This window comes from Homo sapiens, chromosome 14 (assembly GCF_000001405.40).
Source record: "Homo sapiens chromosome 14, GRCh38.p14 Primary Assembly".
Taxonomy (NCBI): domain Eukaryota; kingdom Metazoa; phylum Chordata; class Mammalia; order Primates; family Hominidae; genus Homo; species Homo sapiens.
This window is the reverse complement of record NC_000014.9, coordinates 106,150,806-106,170,114: the sequence shown is the minus strand read 5'-3', so window position 1 is coordinate 106,170,114 and position 19,309 is coordinate 106,150,806. Positions and strand designations below refer to the sequence as shown.

The window sequence follows — 19,309 nt, the reverse complement described above, 5'->3', positions numbered from 1 at the left end:
AAACATTAACTTAGAACAGGAATTTAATTCAACTTTTAATGCTGCATATTTTCCAAGTAATACTAGCAATGATCTCTCAGGACAATTTTTACAATAGGTTATTTATATATTTTCTTGATTAAAAATAATACTATTATTAAAATAGTAAAGTTATAAAAATCACACCTGTAATCCCAGCACTTTGGGAGGCTAAGGCAGGCAGATCACTTGAGCTCAGGACTTTTAGAACAGCCTGGCAGCACAGTGAGGTCTTTTCTATATATATATATAAAATAATAATAATAATAATAAATACCTGGGTATGGTTCCACCTGTGGTAGCAGCTACTTGAAAGGCTGAGGCAGGAGGATCCCTTAAGCCTGGGAGGTTAATGCTGCAGTGAGCTGTGATTGTGCCACTGCACTCCAGCCTCGTTGACAGAGTGAGACCCTATTTAAAGAAAATGTATATCCTCAATACAAACTGTTTCAATGATTAGAGTTTTGTATTTTTGTGCTGTAATAGTCAAACAATTGTACATGTTTTTTAACATTAACTCAGCATATACATGGTATTTTGTTTATTTTTCTTTCATCTGCTGTTTTTGGAAATTAAACACGACTTTAAATGCTCTTGTTCTCCATTTTGGTTGGCTTCAGGTGTCCTGTTTTTCAGACTATTTCTCCATCTTCCCTTTCTCTTTGAAAGTATTTTACTTTCCTCAGTCTCCATGAAGGAAAAAGAAAGTCCCTTTACTTTCTGACCTCCAAGTCTGGTGAATCAGTTCTCTTCTCTTCATAATCACTGAAGCCAACCAAGTTTAGAGGATAATGGTTCTCCTTAGAATATGCTCGTCTACCTGCAGACTCTCTGCCCTAACTCACCCTTTTCCAGGGTCCTGCAGACCATCTCCTCGTTTCCCTAAGTACCACAGAGTGGGCTCTGCAGCTCCTGCTGCCCTCTGTGTGCTCAGCCCTGGGGCTCACTAGTGTTTTGATGATCAAGTCCAAATCCCCATGTGCTTGGACCCTCTGAGACCACCCTCTAGGAAGATGCCATTGTGAGTGAGCCCTGAAAATCATGGACTGTGTTCAGTTTCATATTCCTGGATGTTCTCTGTTGTAAAGGAATATTGACAAATAAATACTAGAGTTTGTATTGAATATTCATGCCAAAAAAGTTTTTTAAAAATTTTTCAAATGAAACAATTTTATCTTGCCTAGTTTGAAAACTACAATCTAAATTTAACAAATAATGTAATACAACGTTTGTCCTATTAGTTATTCAATTTATTAAAAACAGACTGATATTTAAAGTTAATACCATTGCACATTTGAGTGACATATTTGGCAAGAACAGCATTTACATTCAGCTTTAACAAAACATGTATTTAAATATATTTGTCTTTTTAGTATTGGAATAGGCAGACATACACGTAGAAGAGCATTATTTTCTACTACAACCTCAAACTGCAAACACAATTTAAATTCAATTAAGTAATTAAAAAAATATGAAACAAATGGGTGTGCTGTTTTGGTGTTTAGATATACATTCACTTTTGCATGGGCACATGTATGTGTCTTTGCTGGGCTGTTGTGTATGTATGTGTGTTTGTAGAACCATGAAGTTTTCAAATACATCATTAAATGACATAGTTATATTAATCTTGGCCAGGCATGGTGGCTCAAGCCTGTAATCCCAGCACTTTGGGAATCTTAGGCAGGCAGATCACCTGGGGTCAAGGGTTTGAGACCAGCCTGGTCAACAGGGTAAAACCCCGTCTCTACTAAAAATACAAAAATTAGCCAGGTATTGTGGCACAAGCCTTTAGTCCCAGTGTGGCAGGGAAATGTGGGGTCGGAAATCCCACACAGAGTTTCTACTGGTGTACCACCTAGTGGAGCTGTAAGAAGAAAGCCACTGCCCTCCAGAACCCAGAATGGTAGATCCACTGACAGCTTGCACCATGTTTCTGGAAAAACCACATACCCTCAATGCCAGCTCGTGAAAGCAGCCAGGAGGGAGACTGTGCCCTGCAAAAGTTTTTTAAAACTTTTCATTTGAAAAGTTTTAAAAAAGTTCTGTCACAGGGGCAGAACTTCCCAAGACCATGTGAACCCACTTGTTACATCAGGTAACCTGGATTTGAGACATGGAGTCAAAGAAGATTATTTTGGAACATTAAGATTTGACTTCCCAGCTGGATTTCAGACTTGCATGGGACCTGTAGTTTGGACCAATTTCTCCATTTGGAATGGCTGTATTTACACAATGCCTGAACTCCCATTCTTTCTAGGAAGTAACTGACTTGGTTTTTATTTTACAGGCTCATAGATGGAAGAGACTTGCCTCATCTCAAATGAGACCTTGGACTGTGGACTTTTGAGTTAAGGCTCAAATGAGTTAAGACTTTGGCGGACTCTTGAACAGGCATGATTGGTTTTGAAATGCGATAGCAATCATGACTCTAGAGGACCACACGTGAAGTGCAACAAGCAGGCGCAGAAGACAAGTGATTCGTGATTTCACTGTAGTTTGTTTAAATGGTAGACTCACAGAAGTAGAATAGAATGTTGGTTACCAGGGGCTGGAGGGGTGGACTGGAAAAGGAGAGATTGTGGTCAAAGTGTAAAATGTTCCAGTTAGACAGAAGGAGTAAGTTACAGTGTTCTAATGCACAAGATGGAAAATATGGCTGTGAATGCATTATATATTTCAAAATGGCTAAACATGCAAATGTTAAAATTTTTTCCCACTAAGAAATTATACAGGTCGGGAGCGGGGGCTCACACTTGTAAACCCAGCACTTTCGGAGGCCGAGGTGGGTGGATCACAAGGTCAGGAGTTCAAGACCAGACTTGCCAAGATGGTGAAACCCTGTCTCCACTAAAAACACAAAAATTAGCCAGGCGTGGTGTTCACCACAGGAGAATTGCTTGAAGCAAAGGCTGCAGTGAGCCAAGATCGTACCACTGCACTCCAACCGGGGTGACAGAGTGAGACTCAGTCTCAAAAAAAAAAAGAAATACATTTATGAGGTGCTGGATATGTTAAATAGCTTGATTAACAATTCCATAATGTATGCATGTATGATAGCATGTGTGAATGGACCTGTATGAAGGTGAGGTGCCCTGGTCACGTGACAGTGAGGTGACTTGGGGGAGGTGTAAGGTTACCTGGGGGTATGTGTGCAGTGAACTTGGGCACATGTGAGGTGACCCAGGGTGCATGTGTGGTGGCCTGGGTGCGTGTGAGGTTACCTGGACATGTATGAGGTGACATGGGGAATTCGTGAGGTGACTTGGATATGTATGATGTGACCTCAGGCATGTGTGAGGTGACCTGGCGGACGTGTGAGGTGACCTGGGGGACGTGTGAGGTGACATGGGGAATGTGTGAGGTGACCTGGGGGAATGTGTGAGGTGACCTGGGAGCATTCGAGGTGACGTGGGGGGTGTGTGAGCTTAGCAGGAGTGTGTGTGAGGTGACATGGGGTATATGTGAGGTGACCCCCCTGACGTGTGAGGTGACCTGAGCACATGTGAGGTCACCTAAGGCACATCTGAGTTGACCTGGGGGATGTGTGAGGTGACCTAGGGAAATGTATGAGCTGACAAAGGGCATGTGTGCAGTGACCTGGGTGCATGTGAGGTGACCTGGTGCATGTGTTAGTTTACCTGGGGGATGTGTGAGGTGAACAGGGGCAGGTGTGAAGTGCCTGAGGAATGCATGAGGTGACCTGGTGCATGTGTGTGGTGACCTAGCAGATTTACGAGGTGACCTGCGGGATGTGTGAGGTGAATAGGGACTTGTGTGAGGTGGCCACAGGAATGTGTGAGGTGACCTGGGGGATGTGTAAGGTGACATTGGGGATGTGTGAGGTGACTCAGGGCACATGTGAGGTGACCTGGGGGATGTGCAAGGTCACCTTGGGTGAGTGTGAGGTGACCTTGGGGATGTGCAAGGTCACACTGTGTGAGTGTGAGGTCATCTGGGATATTTCAAACTTCGTAAGGAAAGCCTGCAACAGTATATGGCACTAAAAGCTTCACACTCCAACACCGTTAATGCGCACATCCTCAAGGAACTCTAAGTGTTTCCAGGTTAGCTTAAATGCCATGGAGCGACACCTGCCCCAGGCACACTCATATATGCATCCTGGGTCTCCCTATCAACCCCTATCCTCAAATTTTCAGTTTATGTTTGCTCCATGATATCAACTCTGATATGTTGAAGGTTTTTTTTTTTCTTTTATTTGTAGTTGTTCAGGTTTGCTATTTCACTCTCATTACTCTGGGCTCAGTCCTCTCCTCAGGTGTCCCACTTCAGAGCTTGCTATATAATAGGAGACATGCAAATAGGACCCTCCCTTTTCTGATGAAAAGCAGCGCAGCCCTGACCCTGCAGCCCTGGGAGAGAAGCCCCAGCCCTGGGATTCTCAGGTGTTTCTATTGGGTCAACAGCAATAAACAAATTACCATGGAATTTGGGCTGAGCTGGGTTTTTCTTGCTGGTATTTTAAAAGGTGATTCATGGAGAACTAAGGATATTGAGTGAGTGGACATGAGTGAGAGAAACAGTGGATATGTGTGGCAGTTTCTGACCAGGGTGTCTCTGTGTTTGCAGGTGTCCAGTGTGAGGTGCAGCTGGTGGAGTCTGGGGGAGGCTTGGTACAGCCTGGGGGGTCCCTGAGACTCTCCTGTGCAGCCTCTGGATTCACCTTCAGTAACAGTGACATGAACTGGGCCCGCAAGGCTCCAGGAAAGGGGCTGGAGTGGGTATCGGGTGTTAGTTGGAATGGCAGTAGGACGCACTATGTGGACTCCGTGAAGCGCCGATTCATCATCTCCAGAGACAATTCCAGGAACTCCCTGTATCTGCAAAAGAACAGACGGAGAGCCGAGGACATGGCTGTGTATTACTGTGTGAGAAATCCTGTGAGGGGACACAAGTGCGAGCCCAGACACAAACCTCCTGCAGGAACACTGGGCGAAATCAGCTGCAGGGGGTGCTCAGGGCCCACTCATCAGAGTCAACCCCAGAGCAGGTGCACATGGAGGCTGGGGTTTGTTTCCTGTCAGGATTTGGGACTTCCTCTGCTTCTGACAGTTTCCCTAGGGAAACTCTTTAATTTTAGATTTCTGTGCCCACCAATGTCATCTCTACATATATTTTTTTAAATCATTATAATACGAGGACTCATTCTCACATGCACAATATGTATATTGCCACCTACGGGAATGAAAACTCCTCAACCATGGTCACCAGCATCAGAGTTGTGAGGAAGCTCAGGGGTGCCTGGTGAGTCTTCTCCAGTCAGACTCAGGACAGTAACCTCAATGGGATTCCCTGACTAGAATGGCTTTTAGGGATTTCGATTACAGCCAAGAGAGAGGCTGGACCAGGTTCAGTGTCATGTAGGACCTCACAGATTTTATGTATGACATTTCTCCTGACAATAAAGTATGCAAATGAGTATCAGCACTGATCTGGTGCTTCCTGACTTTCATTTTTAGTGGTTCTCGCTTTTCCATTTGATTTTCCTGCTTTCTGGATAAAAGGATGTTGTCCCTGTGGTCTAAATCCTGGGGCTCAAGCCCTTTCCCTGGAGCTTAGGTGGGGCTCAGGCTGTGACTCCTGCAGCCATTGGGAGAGGCTGCTGAGACTTTCTTCTCTCTCATTGTTCAGGATACTCCACTCTGTTTTCTGGAGACGCGTCTGAGAACGCGTGTGGCCATTAGTAATGAGGGCACAAGCTTCTTTGGTCAAAATGGGGTGAGGATGTGGAATTGATCCTGTGCTGTGTAAACTGTCACAGAGTCACCTTCTTCACCAGTAGTGTTAGAAGAGCTTGTAAAATTTGTCGGAATCCAACTGGAGTCCCCTGTGTTCAAACCCTGACAAATGGAGCTGGGGAAGGCCATGGATGGAAGCTTCTCATGCACATACCCCTGAGAACAAGACCTAGCTTTATAACACTCCAAAAAACCACAAATTGAACAAAGGCAACCACAACAATAAAAGAATTACTTATATCCCTGAGAACAAGAGCTAGCTTTATAACACTCAGAATAACCACAACAACAAAATAATTACTTATATCCCTAACAACAAGAGCTAGCTTTTTAACACTCGGAAAGGCCACAATCTTGCACAAGGCAACCACAACAATGAAAGAATTACTTCTGTGAAAATATCTGCACAGCAACTGCCTATCCAACCTTACACTGATGTCAACCTTGTTATTGATGCTTCTAGCCCAGGATCGTCCTCATCAAAATGTCATTCAGATCCTGCGTATGAAAAAAATTGTGTTTTTCAGTGCACTCATGTTCTAGTAAAGCCCTCAGAGACCCTCTCCTTCACCTGTGCTGTCTCTGGATTTCCAATCATAACCAGTACTTCCTCCTGGAGCTGTATCTGCCAGCCCCCAGGGAAGAAGCTGAAGTGGGTCAGGTGTGTAGGTCACGAGGAAACACACAGTGCAACCCGCTTCTCAAGAGTCCAGTCACCACCTCCAGATCCACATTCAGAAAACAGTTTTTCCTACAGCTGAGCTACCCGCACAATGAGTAAACCACCATGGATTTTTATACAAAAGACACAGAAGGGGAGGTCATTGTGAGGCCAGACACAAACCTCCCTGCAGGGAAGCTCAGGACACCAGGGGGTGCTCAGACACCAAGGGCTCTCAGGACACATCAAGGCAGGTGCAAGAGGGGAAAAAAGGTGCTGGAGGTGGGGTTTTTCATCACTGTCATATTTTACTCTCCACTATATTTATTCTAATGTATATTATTTTATTATTAGACAATGATATTTATATAAATATATAGCCATACGTAGGTGCACCAAGTTGTCCTTTCCATCTTATGTGGACCTTGTCCATTAGGACGAAGTCCCTGTATGTATTTGAGCACCTCATAAGTTATGGTTAATTATGTAGGATCTCTCACTTTTTCTGTGTCCCTTCCTCCCTCCTCTCTCACACACAAACTGACACCCACAAAGAGTTCTACAACTTTAATTACCTGATGCGTTGAAGAAAATTTACTGAAGTGCAGCTTTTTCAGTTTAACTGCTGTTCATGTTGATGTAGGAATAAGAACATTGTCTTTCTCAACTGTGTAGTTCTCTAAGCTGAGTAGCACCTTTATTTATAATACCCAGATACTGAAAGCAATCCAAATATTGATCAGCAGGTTAAGCAGTAAACACTTTGTTCTAAATTCGTTCACTTGAATAATACCCACTGTTCAAACAAGTACGGCTGGAAATGCTCAACAAGGGTAAATTCACAAGTACTTATGACGAGTAACATAAGCCAAAGAAATACAAGTACATACATACAGTTCCACTTTTATAAATTTTATAAAATGAAAACTAATCTAAAGTTACATAATGAAAACCAGTAGTTGGCCGTGGACATGGTATGAGAAGGGAAGGTGTAGCAAGTGGAAATTACAGGACAACGAGAGGAAATTTTGAGGATAATTTTTTCTGTATTGAGAAAGGTTATGGTTATGTCATTATTTGTCAAATTGTACACATTAAGTGAAGATTATTACTTTCTAATTTCGACTTCTTAAAATACTACAAATTTAAACATATATAATTTGGTAGAAAAGGAGTTAGAGATGGATAAAATATATGAGAAATAAAAAAGAAAATCTCAGAACGATGGCATAAGGATTCAACCATCAAACTAAATAAATTTTAAATTTCTCAACACAGAATTATAGATTCATAAAACCAGCTCCTGGATTCATTGATTTTTTGGAATTGATTTTCATGTCTTTATCTCCTTCAGTTCTGCTCTGATGTTAGTTATTTCTTCTCTTCTGCTAGCTTTTGAATTTGCTCTTGCTTCTTTAGTTCTTCAAATTGTGATGTTAGGGTGTCAGTTTTAGATCTTTCCTGCTTTCTCTTGTAGACATCTAGTACTATAAATTTCCCTCTACACACTGCTTTAAATGTGTCCCGAAGATTCTCAGATGTTGTGTCTTTGTTCTCATTGGTTTCAAAGATCATCTTTATTTCTGCCTTCATTTCTTTATTTACCCAGTAGACATTCAGGAACAGGTTTTCCAGTTTCCATGTAGTTGTGCAGTTTTGAGTGAATTTCTTCATCCTGAGTTCTAATTTGATTATTGCACTTGTGGTCTGACAGACTGTTTGTTATGATTTCTGTTCTTTTGCATTTGGCGAGGAGTGTATTACTTCCAATTATGTGGTCAGTTTTAGAATATGTGCGATGAGGTGCTGAGAAGAATGTATATTCTGTTGACTTGGGGTGGAGAGTTCTGTAGATATCTATTAGGTCTGCTTCAAGTCCTGAATATCCTTGTTAATTTTCTGTCTCGTTGATCTGTCTAATATTGACAGCGGGGTGTTAAAGTCTCCCACTCTTGTTGTGTGGGAGTCTAAGTCTCTTTGTAGGTCTCTAAGGACTTCCTTTATGAATCGGGGTGCTCCTGTATTTGGTGCATATATATTTAGGATATTTAGCTCTTCTTGTTGCATTGATCCCTTTACCATTATGCAATGCCTTTCTTTGTCTCTTTTGATCTTTTTTGGTTTAAAATGTTTTATCAGAGATTAGGATTGCAACTCCTGCTATTTTTTTTTTTTGCTTTCCATTTGCTTAGCAAATATTCCTCCATCCCTTTATTTTGAGCCTATGTGTGTCTTTGCACATGAGATGGGTCTCCTGAATACAGCACATCAACAAAATAAATAGACAGCTATCCAGATTAATAAAGAAGAAAAGAGAGAAGAATCAAATAAATGCAATAAAAAGTAATGTAGGGGATATCACTACTGATCCCACCGAAATACAAACTACCATCAGAGAATACTATAAATGCCTCTATGCAAATATACTAGAAAATCTAGAAGAAATGCATAACTGCCTGGACACATACACCGTCCCAAGTCTAAATCAGGAAGAAGTCAAATCCCTGAATAGAACAATAACAAATTCTGAAATTGAGGCAGTAATTAATAGCGTACCAACCAAAAAAAAAGTCCGTGACCAGATGGATTCACAGCTGAATTCTACCAGAGGTACAAAGAGGAACTGGTACCATTCCTTCTGAAACTATTTCAAACAATAGAAAAAGAGGGACTCCTCCCTAACTCTTTTTATGAAGCCAGCATCATCCTGATACCAAAACCTGGCAGAGACACAACAAAAAAAAGAAAAGCTCAGGCCAATATCCCTGATGAACATCAATGCACCAATTCTCAATAAAATACTGGCAAACCAAATCCAGCAGCACATCAAAAAGCTTATCCACCACGATCAAGTGGGCTTCATCCCTGGGATGCAAGGCTGGTTCAACATATGCAAATCAATAAATGTAATCCATCACCTAAACAGAAGCAATGACAGAAACCACATAATCATCTCAAAAGATGCAGAAAAGGACTTCAACAAAATTCAACACCCCTTCATGCTAAAAACTCAATGCTCTAGGTATTGATGGAATGTATCTCAAAATAATAAAAGCTATTTATGGCAAACCCACAGCCAATATCATACAGAATGGGCAAAAACTGGAAGCATTTACTTTGAAAACCAGCACAAGACAACGATGCCTCTCTCACCACTCCAATTCAACATAGTATTGAGAGATCTGGCCAGGGTAATCAGGCAAGAGAAAGAAATAAATTGTATAAAAATAGGAAAAGAGGAAGTCAGATTGTCTCTGTGTGCAGATGACATGATTGTATATTTAGAAAACCCCATCATCTCAGCCCAAAATCTCCTTAAGCTGATAAGCAACTTCAACAAAGTCTCAGGATACAAAATCAATGTGCAAAAATCACAAGCATTTCTATAACCCAATAACAGAAAAACAGAGAGCCAAATCATGAGTGAACTCCCACTCAAAATTGCTACAAAGAAAATAAAATACCTAGGAATAGAACTTACAAGGGATGTGAAGGATCTCTTCAAGGAGAACTGCAAACCACCGCTCAAAGAAATAAGAGAGGACCCAAACAAATGGAAAAACATTCCATGCTCATGAATAGGAAGAATAAACATCATGAAAATGGCCATACTGCCCAAAGCAACTTATAGATTGAATGCTATCCCCATCAAACTACCAATGACTTTCTTCACAGAATTGGAAAAAACTATTTTAAAGTTCATATGGAACCAAAAATACATCCTGCATAGCCATGACAATCCTGAGCAAAAAAAAAAAAAACAAAGCTGGAGGCATCATGCTACCTGACTTCAAACTATACTACAAGGCTACAGTAACCGAAACAGCATGGTATTGGTACCAAAACAGACATATAGACCAATGGAACAGAGCAGAGGCCTCACAAATAACACCACACATCTACAACCATCTGAACTTTGACAATCTTGACACTAACAAACAATGGGGAAAGAATTCCGGAACTATTTAATAAGTGGTGTTGGGAAAACTGGCGAGCCATATGCAGAAAACTGAAACTGGACCCCTTCCTTACACCTTATACAAAAACTAACTCAAGATGGATGAAAGACTTATCCAGACCTGAAACCATAAAAATCCTAGAAGAAAATCTAGGCAATACCATCCAGGACATAGGCATGGGCAAAGACTTCAAGTCTAAAACACCAAAAGTAATGGCAACAAAAGCTAATACTGACAAATGAGATATAATTAAAGGAAAGTGCTTCTGCACAGCAAAAGAAACTATCATCAGAATGAACAGGCAACCTACAGAATGGGAGATTTTTGCAATCTATCCATCTGACAAAGGGCTAATATCCAGAATCTACAACAAATTTACAAGAAAAAAAAACCCATCAAAAAGTAGGTGAAGGATATGAACAGACATTTCTCAAAAGAAGACATTTATGCAGCCAGCAAACATGAAAAAACCCTCCTCATCACTGGTCATTAGAGAAATGCAGATCAAAACCACAATGAGATACCATCTCACACCAGTTAGAATGGTGACCATTAAAAAGTCAGGAAACAACAGATGCTGGAGAGGATGTGGAGAAATAGTAACATTTTTACACTGTTGGTGGGAGTGTAATTAAGTTCATCCATTGTGGAGGACAGTGTGGCGATTCCTCAAGGATCTAGAACTAGAAATACCATTTGACCCAGCAATCCCATTACTTGGTATGTACCCCAAGGATTATAAATCATTCTACTACAAAGACACATTGGGGCACCATTCCCAATAGCAAAGACTTGAAACCAACCCAAATGTCCATCAATAATAGACTGGATAAAGAAAATGTGGCACATATACACCATGGAATACTATGCAGCCATAAAAAAGGATGAGTTCATGTCCTTTGCAGGGACATGGATGAAGCTGGAAACCATCATTCTCAGCTAACTAACAGAAGAACAGAAAACCAGACACCACTGTTCTCACTCGTAAGTGGGAGTTGAACCATGAGACCAGGTGGACACAGGGAGGGGAATATCACACACTGAGGCCTGTTGGGAGGTAAAGGGCTAGGGGAGGGATAGCATTAGGAGAAATACCTAAGGTAGACGGCAGGTTGATGGGTGCAGCAAACCACCATGGCGTGTGTATACCTATGTAACAAAACTGCACATTCTGCACACGTACCCCAGAACGTAAAGTATCATTTAAAGAAAGGATTACATATTCCATTAAATATATATGAGAAATCAGAGACTCCTGAATATACACATGAATACACACTGGGTCTACCTATATTTTTAGGGAAACACTAGAATACAGCAAAATAATGTCATGATTTTATTAAAAATGGGGGTTTATCAAACCACACCAGGCATGTCCAGCTCTGTCCTGGAGCTGGTTCAGGGAACAGGTGGGTCCTGTGTTTGGGAGCCATGACAACAAGCTCACAGCGTCAGTTCTAGTTGAAACCTCAAAAAGGCAAAGGGATCTCAATTAAAATATCATGTAGATGTCACATCTGTGGGTGCTGCATACTCCCCCGATGTGAATATGGAAAGGTTAATTACCTCTTGAACTCTCTGCCGAGATTAGTGCTGGTCTCTCAGGAACACCCAAAATGGCTCGATAGAGCCAGAAAGCAGACTGGCTCAGGGTTTTTGTGATGGTTTCGTCGTGGGTCAGAGTGAGGCTTCCCACGCACAGGAAGGGGATTGTACAGTGCGAAACACCCACTGGTGTCAAATGAGGAAGCTCCCGCAATTCCTAACTAGATTCACATTGTGTGATAAAAGACACACAATAGACATAACTTCATGGTCGGATATCACAAAATGCCGTTAAAAGATGTGGTAAAAAGGCAACTTTAAATTTTTAGTCATTGGAGTGCGTACAACACAAAAATCATTTTCAATATTTGTAACACATGCATGCAATAGGACAAAGGTATGTGATGAGGGTAAAATCTCGAAAGTGTGAATCTTCCAGCTACCAAGTCGTAGGGTAATAACTGATGTGTGCTGAGGGAGGAAACCATCACGCCATAGTGCTAATGGTATAACCCTTGGTGAAGAGAGTTCAATATTTTATTGAAGTTTTCATAATTTTTATTTAAAGATGCCATTTTTCAACATACTCAGATGATTGTGAGTGCCATTGATTCTGTATCGTATGAACAATGGCAATACCTTCCATGTTTACATAATATTAAAAACCACGTTAAGACTGAATATTTGGTGTCATGGTGCATCACGTTATTCTAGCTTCCATACTAGTTGTTTTATTTGTTTGTTTTCTCCTTTGTTGGCATTTGGTTTCGAATTCATATGTCAGGTCTCTATAATGTAGGAATTTATTTAAAAGTGTCTTTTTTTGTCCATTTTGATGGGGCTTCCAGGAGACGTAAGAACCTCCTCTGCTTGCAACACATTTTAAAATTACGCACTAATGTAGAACATCTGTATTTAATCCTGGTTTTTAGTTAATTGACAAGCTCTAATAAGTGAAGTAACTTCTCCATTCTGGGCTGATTTTACATCAGGTATAGGAATATATCCTAGGTGAAAGTTTGTACCAGTAATATGAATTATTAGGTAATAACCTCCACCTTTATGATTTACATGTTATTCATCAAGAAATAGTGTTAAATCAGGAGTCTCAATGAAAGTATTACCTAAGGGATATACAAAATATATTGCTAATCTACATAAAACAGATGTGAACACACTCTTAGTATCCAGCCATGTTTCCTGTCAACCACACAGTAACTTTGACTTCACTTGGGACTTGTTCTAATTTTCAAATTAGTTACTTATTAATCTTAATGCTTCTAGATATTATGTGTGACTATTTTAGCAGAGAGTGAAGAAAGACAGCCTAGGCCGACTAAACAATGAGGAAAATCACAACCTGATGAAACAGGAAGCCTCTGGATGTGAGTGGCTCCAGGATTGAATAATTTGACAACTCATGTACCCAGGAAGTTTCTTTTCTCAATTTTCCACACTGATGCATCCAGAAAGTCAGCTTCACCCCCCAGGTGACTCCCATAATGCAGTGACATGGTGACAATATTCCCATGGTCACATACGTATTTTATATATTGGCTGGAAAAGGGGCAGAGACAGTTCTGCAATTCTCCTCTGAAGGACCAGGAACACCTCAACAGACCACCTCCCCTGCCCCCATGACTAGAACTGCACCACGTGCCCACATGGACACTCATCCCTGATGGGGATAAGAAGACTCCATTGATGAGGCCGACTATTTTAGCATATAAATTAGTAAAGACTGATATAAAGGTTTCAACAACTAATTGAAGTCTGTTCTTCTATGTCCACCAGAGATATAGATGCTCCAGCGATATCTTGTTTTTCTTTGCTGCGTGACTGTGTCTCTTCTCCTTGTTCCATCCTCCAGAGAATCTCTTTCAGCTCCCACAGGTGCATTCCTCTGTTACATGTAACTGACAATTGATAAATTAGTGGAAGCCCTTACACTAAAGGAAGAGTCTCTGACCTCATCTTGGTCCATATTCCTAGAAAGGCATTGTGCCCGTAAGTCTGGGTGTGACCTTCTGAGTGTTCCTGTCCCTCCTCCAGAGGAGATGCTCATCTGTGTGTTCTTGTCCCTTTCACTGGGGTAGAACCACCCTGTTTCCCCCAGGTGTTCCCTCCCACAGCTCCAGTGTTCCGCATCAGTGTCATCACCTCCCAGATCTGCTGCCCTGCCCTGCAGACTAAAGCTCTGATTCCATAAGAAGGAGAGTTATGTCTCAACAGAACTTCGTGGCAGTGACCTCTGTTCCCATCTCAATTCCTGAGGGGTTGCACCAGTGCCCCTAGGGTACTGGTTTTGGTGGTTCCCCTGCAAAGTAATTTTTGGTTCTGTAGTGGATATAAGGGAGTCGAGTCTGAATGCCTTTCAAAAATGGGGGCTCTTGTTCTCTCCCAGACAGACACTTTGGGAAAGGAAGATTTTGTGACTGCCCCTTTTTTGGGGAAAGGGATTCAAGAGGATAGAAAAGCTCTTCAGTATGTGGTCCCTTAGAATTTCAAACTACAACAAGCTTACCATATTCAGTTTCAAGCAATCCCATATATATTTGTATTTTTATCTTTAACAGACTATATTTCATATGCCAGACTCTGCCTTAGGTAATCTCATATGCTGGCTTTGTTACTCTCTACAAGAACTTGCTTCTTGTTAAATTTAAGATTTTTTTTAACTTCAGTTATCCTAAGCATTCAGAAATTTGCAAAATTTCATCTTGACTGTTTATCTGTTATTGTTGATGTAGTTGTAAGAAATAAAGAATATATATCCCTCATTTATGTACATTTTCAAGTCGAGTAGTAGATTTTTAGTACTACCAGAGTAATAAAATAATTTGAACATTGTTAAGCTGCTTAACAGAAAATCAAATTATGGTAAATTTGTTCAATGGAATACTACACAACATTTATAATAAATAATTGTCTGATACATGCAACAAGAAGGTAAAATATCTAAGTATTTTTGCTGAGTAAAATAAACCAGACAAATGAGAAGATTTACCATATAATTTCATTTATATAAATTCTGGAAAATAAAAACTGAACTTACTTAAGTAATATAACAACAAGGTAAAATATCTAAGTATTGATGTTCAGGAAAATAAAGCAAATGAATAAGAATATGTACTATGTTATTCCATTTTAATAAACTCTGATAAATTAAATTGAATCTACAGCAATATAAAGAAGAACAGAATTTACCATTTGGGGAAATGGTAGAAGAAGGGAAGAGGAAAGGAGGAGGAATATAGAAGAATGAGAGGGAAATTTTGTGAATTTTCTGGTTCACCTTGGTAACTAGGATGGTTACATCAGGTTTATCAATTGTACACTTTAAATATGTGAAGTTTATTATCAGTAAACTGAAATTTATAAAATTTATTACCAGCAAACAAATGAAAACTTGCACAAGAAATAAGTGACATAAAGATAGAAAAAATATTAAATTTCAGAAACACCTAATAATTTATCTTCGTGAACCCTAGTTCTCACCATATTTTTAGGTGAATGCTAGAATGCAGCAAAATTACACATGCTCTCAATACAGAAAGTGGGTTTCACAAACCACACTAGGCATGCTCAGCTCTGTCCTGGAGTTGGGTTAGGGAGTAATATAGGGCCAGTGGATGAGGAGCACAGGCCTAGATACTGGGGCTCACTAACCTCAGGTATGAGCTCTTAGATACATACAAAGCCCCTCCACGCATGGGTTTACTTCCCCATCTGTAAATTGAGAAACCATTGACCCCTAAAAATATGATTTACACAAATATGTAAAAATGTAAGAGAGTGATTAGTGCAAAGTGTTTATCACAGCACAATTTCATAACAAGACAGCAAGTTTTCCAAACAGCATCATTGTCATTAGATTCCTGCAGGGCATCATTACCTTATCTGGGCCCTGCCCTCTGCTCAGGCATCCCACCCCAGAGCTTGCTATATAGTAGGTGACATGCAAATAGGGCCCTCCCTCTCCTGATGAAAACCAGCCCAGTCCTGACCCTGCAGCTCTGGGAGAGGAGCCCCAGCCTTGGGATTCCCAAGTGTTTTCATTCAGTGATCAGGACTGAACACAGAGGACTCACCATGGAGTTTGGGCTGAGCTGGATTTTCCTTGCTGCTATTTTAAAAGGTGATTTATGGAGAACTAGAGAGATTAAGTGTGAGTGGACGTGAGTGAGAGAAACAGTGGATATGTGTGGCAGTTTCTGATCTTAGTGTCTCTGTGTTTGCAGGTGTCCAGTGTGAGGTGCAGCTGGTGGAGTCTGGGGGAGGCTTGGTAAAGCCTGGGGGGTCCCTTAGACTCTCCTGTGCAGCCTCTGGATTCACTTTCAGTAACGCCTGGATGAGCTGGGTCCGCCAGGCTCCAGGGAAGGGGCTGGAGTGGGTTGGCCGTATTAAAAGCAAAACTGATGGTGGGACAACAGACTACGCTGCACCCGTGAAAGGCAGATTCACCATCTCAAGAGATGATTCAAAAAACACGCTGTATCTGCAAATGAACAGCCTGAAAACCGAGGACACAGCCGTGTATTACTGTACCACAGACACAGTGAGGGGAGGTCAGTGTGAGCCCGGACACAAACCTCCCTGCAGGGGCGCGCGGGGCCACCAGGGGGCGCTCGTGACCCACTGAGGGCGGGACAGGTCCCAGGAGCAGGTGCCGGGAGAGGTTTCCTTTCTCCTCAGCTGGAAAAGTCAGGTTTATCTTCGCAGGACTCTGGAGTCTTCTAGGCTGTGATATTTTGTTACTTATATTTATTATGAATTTTATCATTAATACTTAAATTTTAGTAATTATTAACATTCTACATATTATTATATTTTTAAGTATATACTTTCAAGAAATAAACATTCCTAATTGCATAATAATTATTGTAACATAATTATTGTAACATATAATTATATCCTAAATGCATAATAATTATTGTAACAATCACATTCTCATTTTGTATTTGAATTTTCATATTTATTTTACTAAGATTTTAATTTTAATATAAAATATTTTTCTACAATTGTCTGTTTTCCATTTTTGTGAGATAAAATTAGCATATACAAAAATGCACAGATTCTCCAGGTACAGTTAGAGGGTTTCAGGCAAATGTGCACATACTTGTCTACAGCAGCTAAGTGAGGGTGAGGAACAGGTGAGGTCCATCTCCCCACAAAGTGTCCTCTTAGTGCTTCCAGTTAGTTCTCACATAAGGATTTTTTTTTATTTCAACTTTATAATTTAGATACAGAGGGTTCATGTGTGGATTTGTTACATGGGATTACTGAGTGATGCTGAGGTTTGGAATACAGATTTCTTCACCCCCTCCCTCCATGGTCTAGCAGTCCACAGTGTCTGTTGCTCCCATATTTATGTCTATGTGTGCTCAATGCTGAGGTCCCACTTACAAGAATATGTGGTGTTCAGTTTTATTTTCCTGAATTAATTTGTTTAGGATTAAGAACTCCAGCTCCATTTGTTTTGCTGCAAAGGACATGATTTCATTCTTTTTTATGGCTGTGTAGTATTATATATTTTACATGTAACACATTTTATATATCCACTCTACCATTGATGTGCATCTGGGCTGATCTTTGTCTTTGCCACTGTGAATAACACAGCAATAAACATACACATGCATGTGTCTCTTTGGTAGAATTATTTGTTTACCTTGTAGTGTATACCCTGTAATAGGATAGCTGGTTCATATAATATCTCCATTTTAAGTTTTTTGAGAAATCTCCAGTCTGCTTTCCAAAGTGGGTGGACTAATTTATATTCCCATTAACAGTGTGTAAGTGCTTTCTTTTCACCACAGCCCCATCAGTATCCATTGGTTTTTGACTTTTTAGTGATAAAAATTTGAGTGGTGTGAGGCTGCACACCTACAACCATATGATCTTTGATAAGGCTGACAAAAAAACAAGAAATGAGAAAGGAATTCCCTGTTCCATAAATGGTGCTGGGACAACTAGCTGGCCACACGACAAAGATTGAAACTGGATGTCTGCTTTCAACATATATAAAAATTAACTCAAAATTGATAAAAGATTTAAATGTAAGACATCAAACTATAACAATCCTTGAAGACAACGTGAAAATACTCTTCTCGACACCAGCTTTGACAAATACTTTTTGGCTAAGTATGCAAAAGCAATTGCAACAAAAACAAAAATAGATAAGGAGAGACTAATTTGCTAAAGAGTTACTACACAGCAAACCAACCAGCTAATCAACCAAACAAACAAATAAACAAACAAAACTATCAGCATAGTAAGCAGACAACCTACAGAATGTGGGAAGTTATTCACAAATGTTGCATCCAACAATGCCCTAATATCCAGAATTGTATTAGCTGGTTTTCATGCTGCTAATAAAGACATACCCGATATTAGGAAATTTATCAAAAAAGAAGAAGAAGAGGTTTGATCCACAGTTCCACAAGGCTGGAGAGGCCTCACAGTCATGGTGGAATGTGAAAGGCACGTCTCATATGGCAGCAGACAAGAAAAGAGAACTTGTGCAGGAAAATCCCCCTTTATAAAACTATCAGATTTTATGAGACATTCACTCTCAAGAGAATAGCATGGGAAAGACCCACCCCCATGATTTAATTATCTCACAGGGGGTTTATTCCACAACATTAGGAAATTACTGAAGCTCCAATTAAGATGAGAATTGGGTGGGGACACAGTCAAATCATATCATTCTGCCCCTGGCTCCTCCTAAATCTCATGTACTCACATTTCAAAATGGATCCTGCCTTCCCAACAGTCCCAAATTCTTATTTCAGCATTAACTGAAATGTCCGCATTCCAAGGCCTCATCTGAGACAAAGCAAGTCCCTTCTGCCTATGAGCCTGTAAAATCAAAAGTAAGTTAATTACTTCCTAGACACAATGGGAGTACAGGTATTGGGTAAATAGAGCAATTCCAAATGGGAGAAGTTGGCCAAAACACAGAGGCTAAAGGCCCCGTACAAGTCCAAAATCCAGTGGGACAGTTAAATCTTAAAGCTCAAAAAAGATCTATTTTGACTCCATGTCTCACATCCAGGTCATGCTGATGTAAGTGTTGGGTTCCCATGGTCTTGGGCAGCTATGTGCCTCTGGCTTTGCAGGGTACAGTCTTTCACCCAGCTGTTTTCACCGGCTTGCTCTGAGTGTCCATGGCTTTTCTAGGTGCATGGTGCAAGCTGTTGGTGGATCTACTATTCTGGGGTCTGAATAACTGCGGCCTTCTAATCATAGCTTCACTAGGCAATGCACCAGTGGGGACTCTGTGTGAAAGCACCCACCCCACATTTTCTTTCCTCGCTGCCCCTAACAGAGGTTCCCATGTGGGCCCCTCCCTGCAGCCACCTTCTGCCTGG

The 19,309-nt window shown here is 40.7% G+C and overlaps 1 pseudogene, 2 gene segments (V, D, J or C) and 1 further gene; all 4 read left to right on the top strand.

Annotated features, from left to right (window-relative positions):
- IGH (immunoglobulin heavy locus) overlaps positions 1 to 19,309 on the top strand; it is a 1,293,408-nt gene that overhangs the window by 709,730 nt on the left and 564,369 nt on the right.
- Positions 4,459 to 4,912, top strand: IGHV3-16 (immunoglobulin heavy variable 3-16 (non-functional)). The segment is given in 2 exon segments: positions 4,459 to 4,504; positions 4,606 to 4,912. Coding segments are annotated over 2 exon segments (353 nt in total), but the record flags the coding sequence as incomplete, so codon positions are not given.
- IGHVII-15-1 (immunoglobulin heavy variable (II)-15-1 (pseudogene)) lies at positions 6,311 to 6,581 on the top strand (annotated as a pseudogene). Its single transcript is given in 1 exon segment — positions 6,311 to 6,581. A coding segment is annotated over 1 exon segment (271 nt).
- IGHV3-15 (immunoglobulin heavy variable 3-15) lies at positions 16,032 to 16,493 on the top strand. The segment is given in 2 exon segments: positions 16,032 to 16,077; positions 16,181 to 16,493. Coding segments are annotated over 2 exon segments (359 nt in total), but the record flags the coding sequence as incomplete, so codon positions are not given.